This window comes from Homo sapiens, chromosome 14 (genome assembly GCF_000001405.40).
Source record: "Homo sapiens chromosome 14, GRCh38.p14 Primary Assembly".
NCBI lineage: Eukaryota > Metazoa > Chordata > Mammalia > Primates > Hominidae > Homo > Homo sapiens.
This window is the reverse complement of record NC_000014.9, coordinates 83,822,023-83,828,687: the sequence shown is the minus strand read 5'-3', so window position 1 is coordinate 83,828,687 and position 6,665 is coordinate 83,822,023. Positions and strand designations below refer to the sequence as shown.

Sequence of the window (6,665 nt, the reverse complement as noted above, 5' to 3'; positions counted from 1 at the left end):
ACTCTGAATGCAGTATTGGGAAACAAATGCTATGAGAACCATACAGTCATCGAAATGAAAAATCAAGTGACATGCTGGAATGCATGTAAGATACTGGACCTGACAATATTTGTACCATTACAAGTGGGAAAAAAGCCTTCCATGCTGAAAAATCTCTGGCAGTTCCTTCTGTGGCCTAGATGTTGAATAGCTTGTAGCAGAGCTGAAGCATTCTACTTGTTTCCACATGAAACCATTATGAAAATACTTTTTTAAAGTATTATTTCTCTTAGCTGTTATTTTGGGGCTGATGAAGAATGATACAGTCTGGTGATAAGGCAAATAATACTGCAATCCTTTAAATGTTAGGCAATGAATCACCTTAATAGGAGGCTACTATTTGAAGATGAAAATCTCTTATTAAACTTTGTAAATACCATTCCTGATCAGTAATTTATAAATCTGAATTTTAATTAAAGGCAATAAGAAAACTTTTAGTTCTGCTTAGGTATGGTATTTAACAGAGCTGTGGGTTTTGTAACATAAAATTAAGTAATCCATAGCTCGTCCAAGGCAGGAATTAGGGCTACTGTAATGTAGGGAAAGAGCCATTTTCTATAACTTCTGTTTCAACTTGAGAACAAACAACCAAATGTGGGATCCTAGAAAATTGCCTTTATTCTATTTCTTCATTGCTTGGCTTCCAGTCCCTGGAGCTACAACCGAAAGAGAGTGCATTATAAATCCCTGGCATTGCTTCTGCATGTGGGGGGCCGTGGAGCTGTCAGGGCAGGTGTTTCAGAAAGGGCAAGGCCATAGAAAAGACAGCCAACTCTAAATGAGCTATCAAGTTCAGACGAACTCATTCCCTTTACCTTACCTTCACACAGAGGGAGGCTGTTAAACTCCGACAAACAAAATGGTTTATAAGGCACCTGGCATTTTAGATTCAGGAAATGCCATTTGGAAGTCTTGGAACACATTCAAAAATGCAAAGAAATCCCCTTGGTGCTAGCTGGGTAAGTAGATTTCCTTGAGAATGGCAAGTACATCCTCCTTTGCTTCTTTGTCAATCGTTCTGTCTCTATGGTATTCAGGCTACCTGAAGGCCTCCAGTTAAATGCATCTAGACTCTGCAGGGAAGTGCAAGTTTGAACCCCCAAGGATATCCTCCCACTTGCCCTGAAGAGTAAACATCTCTTGGCTCTCCAAGAATTCTTATTAGGAAATTCTCTCACAATGACCTCCTCACGTGGAGTGATTCGAGCAAAAGGGCTGCCAAGTTGATTTTGACAGCCTTCACATAAAGGTCAAGTGGATGGAAGGTTTGAGCAGTTGTGTGTTTTATCAGAGAAATCTTTTTCACCCTTCCCATGTATCTGCAGTGCTGATTGAAGCACAGCTTGGTTCTGCTTCTCTGCGCAAGCTCTAAACTTTGGGGGACTTCAACATAAAGTTTGTTACATATTTATAGAATAGTTTTCTTTAAAAAGCTGGAGAAGAATGATTCACCTACAGGGTGGAGGAATACAGGAAAATGAGGAGGAATGGAGGGAGGGGGATCTTGTATTAGACTCCGGGTGATGTTCATTTGGAAACGTCTAAAGAGCATTTAACTAGCAATGCCCAGGAGGTGGCAGGACATGGATTTTGCGGTTCAGAAGAGGAGTTTAGGTTTCGATTTGTATTTTAGGGTCACTGATTACACAGCTGGGAATAGAAGGCATGCATTAGATGATGTCATCCATAAAAATGCATGAGAATGAGAAAAGGACGGAGAAAGGAGCCTGAGTAATCCTGGCATTTAAGGGGTGAGTAGAGAAAGAGAATCACAGGAAGAAATCGGAAGGCAAATTTTCAAAACCTAGAAGAGTACTTTTTAAAAGGAAAGCAATTAAAAGTACTTTTTAAAAGTAAAAGACTTAAAGACTTTTTAAGTCTATAGGATTTCAGTATAAAAATAAATACTTGAAAATCGGATTTGGCAATGAGACATCTCTGATCTTGACAGCAGTGTTGATAGAATGATACATGTGGAGAAGCTCGACTCTGGGGATCTGAGAAGTAAATGGAAATTCATTTTCATACTCAGCTGCAAAAGTAGCCTGAAAATTCAAACACCCATCTAGGCAATAAAACACTTCTCAATCAACACTAAGGTATAGATCATTGTAAGATTTTTCTCCAGTAAGTTACAATGGGAAGGAAGGCACTGAGTCTTGGCAAGGAGAAGAAACGAGTTGAGGGTTTTTTGGGTTCTGAGAGTAGAAGAGTACATTTTGCGCTTGCATTTCCCATGTAGGCAAAATTTGAAGGGCTTTTCCATTATCTAACAAACATAGTTCATTTTCTTCCACTTCTCTTTAGAAAATGTACTAGACAGTAAACAAAAAAGAGAGGAACATATACTTTAATCAGGTGCTTTACTTTTAGTGTATTCAACTTTATAGTTAGAGCATAAATCCTTGCCATCTTCCTTATATTTCTCTAACGAGATTCTGCTTTGCATTATTGCACAGGCTTTTTATGCCCTCTAAATTTACATTTTACAGATGCTTGGATTTATGGTAGCTCTTCCTTTTGACAGGTCACTATAAGATGTGATATGTCAGCTATTGATTTTATGAGAACATATGTTTATCCGGTTAATTTTCTCTGAAAGATAATGCACACTCTCAGCATGAGGTCAAGGGCATGAAATTTTTCAGCGTCTTTGAAGATCAAGCAATTCTATCTTCAGATATTAAAGACAAAGAGATGTAGAAAGAAAAAAACCCAGAAATTCTCTGCTTATGATAATATCCATGCTGAAGCTGTAAAACTGTAAGTTAGCACAGCCTGGGAAAGGATAGATGCAGTCAGCTTGGGGGAACGAAGAGAAAATCAGACTCAAGACTGAACTCTCTTAAAACTTCACCTGCAACTCCAGGCTGTAGTATTGCTTTGACCTCTTGAATATTAATTGTATTTATGTGAAGCATGCCAATTATAGCCAAGATTATTCAGTTATATAGTTCAGGTTATCACTTTCTGTAGAGTGGTGAAGAGCATTGACTCGGAGCCACTGAGTGCTCCAGAACACACTTCTGCTCTAAAACACATGGCTAAGTTCCAGAAACTCTCTGAGTTTCAATTTCCTCAGGCTTCATGTAACAGAAATATTTTTAGTGATTTGGAAAAATTATATAAGTTAATATATGCAAAGTGCTCATCATTTAGAGAATCTATAGTAAGAGGATATTATTATAACATACCTTGAATAGATCATTTGCCATTAAGTATGCGGACAATGCAGCTCTTAAAGTCATATGATGAATAAGGCAATGTACTAGACGTTACAGATATAAAGACGCTAATCACTTCCCAAAAGCCCCATCCCCTAATACCATCACTTGGGGGTTAGGATTTCGACACACAAAGTTTGTGGGGACACAAACATTTAGACTATAGCAGGTGATTATTTCTTAGATGTAGGAGGATGAAGAAGACCCACAGATGATTCCCAGGCCTCCCACTTAGGTTGTTTTTTGTGTTTCGAGTTCCTCGTTTTGTAAGTATTCAATGAATGCTAAAGAAAAAAAGGAGGAAAATGGGCAGACAAGTTCTTTTCATCCTTGGGGATGTTGACTCCAGGGTTCTTCCAATTCTCCATAGATCTCTGTGTCTGAGCCTTTACTAAATAGGCATATTTGTAGAATTAGCACCCTCAGTATAGTTAATATTTGATATGATTTGCCTGTGGCCCCACCCAAATCTCACCTTGAATTGTAGCCTCCATAATTCCCATGTGTAATTGAATCATGGAGGGAGGTCTTTCCCAGGCTGTTCTTGTGATAGTGAATAAGTCTCAGGAGATATGATGGTTTTATAAAGGGGAGTTCCTCTGACCATGCTCTCTTGCCTGCCGCCATGTAAGACATGACTTTGTTCCTCCTTTGCCTTCCACCATGATTGTGAGGGCTTCCCAGCCGTGTGGGACTGTGAGTCAATTAAACCTTTTTCTTTTATAAATTACCCAGCGTCAGGTATGTCTTTATTAGCAGCATGAGAACAGACTAATACAGTATTTAATAAGTAATATGCTCTAACAATATAGCTACATAATAGAGAGATATCATGGGTTAAAAACCATTAATGATAAGAAATTGTTCATGTAGCTAAGGTCTTTGAAATTATAATAGATAAACATGCATTTTACCACTAAATTACTTTCTCAGCGTATCTGAAATGCTTAGGGCTATGGTGCTAATTAACTTTGGGCCTTCCTTGATATGGAGGCAGCTTAGTTTAATTAAATCAATAGTTTTGTATATTAATTATAGTACAGGCTTAAATAATTTAGGGAGTATTTACCCTTTTTGCAGATCCTTATTTATTTTTTGGCCGAAGTTTGCAGGATTACTCTGCTTCAAATTTAACAAATGCACCTAATGATTCACCCTCTCTCCCTTTCCTCCCTTCTCCCCTCTAAAACAGTCTGGGTATGAGAATTGCAGTTCTATCTGTGTGACAAAGATTAGGTTTACTCTATGACAGCAAAGTGATTGATGGAACAAACATATCCTTTTGCTGTAGATAATCCTCTGGTTAACTCTACAGATTTATCTAGTTTTAATACTCTTAATTTTACAATTGGCTGTATTCTTAAAATAAATGAATTTGGTCTGGCAGTTCCTTGAATTAAAGTTTGCTTACTAGGCATAAAGAAACTGCAGTATGAAATAAACTAGAATTATCTAGAACTCCCGAATTTAAGTGTCCTACAGATATGATTTAATCTGAAGAGCCTCTCACTTCCAAAAAAACACATTCTTATTTTTTAAACAACTACTTTACTATGCCTTGAAATGAATAAATTAAATAACATATTTCAAAGAAATAAGAAAGCCATCTGGTATGTAACTCTTGTTTAGACCATGTAACTTATTAATTGTTGATCATCAATTGAAAACCTATTAAACTCTAAACTCTGGTGAGAAGAGGAAGAGGGTTCAATGTTATATCTCAGAGAGTTTCCGTTTTTAATCGCAGATAAAACTGAAGTTATGTTCAAGACAAAGTATAAAGCAAAAAATTAATGCAAATGCTATAAGAATTCCGAATGAGAAAAAATTTACTTAGGTTGTGCTAAGATGGGTAAGGAAATACAGTAGAGAAACTTGCTGACATTTCTCCATAATAAATTTTTAGGCCCGATGAACCTAGTGACCCATATGGGATTATAATTAGTTAAAATGTGAAAATAGGTCTCATAGTACTTTCAGCCAATACAAGTTTTCTAAAAATAAAATGAATAGTAACCTCAGATATTGGAATAATTAATCTCACTTTATCGATTACTCCTAAATATATTGTATGAATGAGAATATAAAGATACTTGGATAGATAACTAGGCTCTTTAAAAGTGATTGGTTCCTACCCCGGTGATGGTGATCACACTGTAAAAAGGGAGAAATGATGTCTGTATGGGCTGAGATCCTTGCAAGAAACTCATCATGCAAGTGCCAGTTTTTATGATCATTGTATTCGATCAGCAGAATTTCTCAATGTGAGCAGAAGATGGGATCTTTTCATCTTCTTCGTTGTCTTCTTATGCTGTCAAACCTTTCTGGATTGCCCACTCTATTATCACCTTCTAATAACAGAGGAAGTGAATATCCAACTTCATAATGGAAGCATGCTGCCTACATTATTTTAGATGAAATGTATTCTTTCCTAGAGCAATCTGGGCTGCAGCTGTTTCTCTGCTGAAAACTACTTCAGCAAGTAAACAGTCAGGTTTTACTGATAGACTATCCCGTTTATAATATTCCATTTAATTGCTAGGCAGATATAAGCCGGTTCTCTTCTATACGTTTTCAAACTACAATGGTACAAAGAGAATTATAATAATACCCGACGTAATAGTTATCCAAAGAGAGATACTGCCATGTAAAAAATATTTAGTAACTGCATTAGGATTATGTTAGTGTGGTAAGGCATTATATTGCTAGAAGCAATTATAGCTTGCAATACACAAGAGCAATGACTTTAAGTGAAGAGAACAAGCTGAAGACCTGAAGTTTATGTGCGCGTCAATGTGTGGAGGAGGTATTTGTTTCTCAGGGAGGGGTGAAAGGAGGAGTTTAACTTACTGCATCAAACAAAAGGGGAGCATTTTTCCAGATGCAGCGCTTTGAGTTTTCAATGACAAAAATCATTATAAAGAAGCAAGGGAATAATTTACCATTATGGTTGGGGAAAAGAAATTTAAAAATAAAATAAATGTTTAAAAGAAGCAAGACAAAATAAAAATTGGTTTTAGATGGGGAAGGTAGAATAAATTCTCTTTTTAAAAAGCTCTAACAATAAATAAAATTGTTCATTATAGTTTAAAAAACCACAAATATCAATAATAAAGTTCTCACAGAAACCTCGTATTTCATATTCTAACAGTGTTTTAAGATTTGTATTTGAAAATGGAATTTCAGGGATTACTTTCTGCTTTTCTGTGGCTTGATGAATGAAGAAAGTAGAAACTGAGGATGATGCTACTGTAAGAACTTAAAGCATAACTCTCTCTTCTCCTTCCCAATAACAAAAGATATCCCAAAGCAAAAGAAGATAGCCTGCTGTGAAAGCTATCCAGGTATGAAACATATGTTAAAAATGTCTGATAAACATTTTAAAAATGTTTAATAGAAATG

The 6,665-nt window shown here is 36.3% G+C and overlaps 1 annotated feature.

The window, feature by feature from the left end:
• Positions 786–1,287: an enhancer, noted in NCBI's record as "NANOG hESC enhancer chr14:84293745-84294246 (GRCh37/hg19 assembly coordinates)". NCBI's record gives its function as "activates a minimal SCP1, AML or CMV promoter by ChIP-STARR-seq in primed H9 embryonic stem cells {active_cell/tissue: H9 hESC(primed)}" and the evidence as "EXISTENCE:reporter gene assay evidence [ECO:0000049][PMID:30033119]".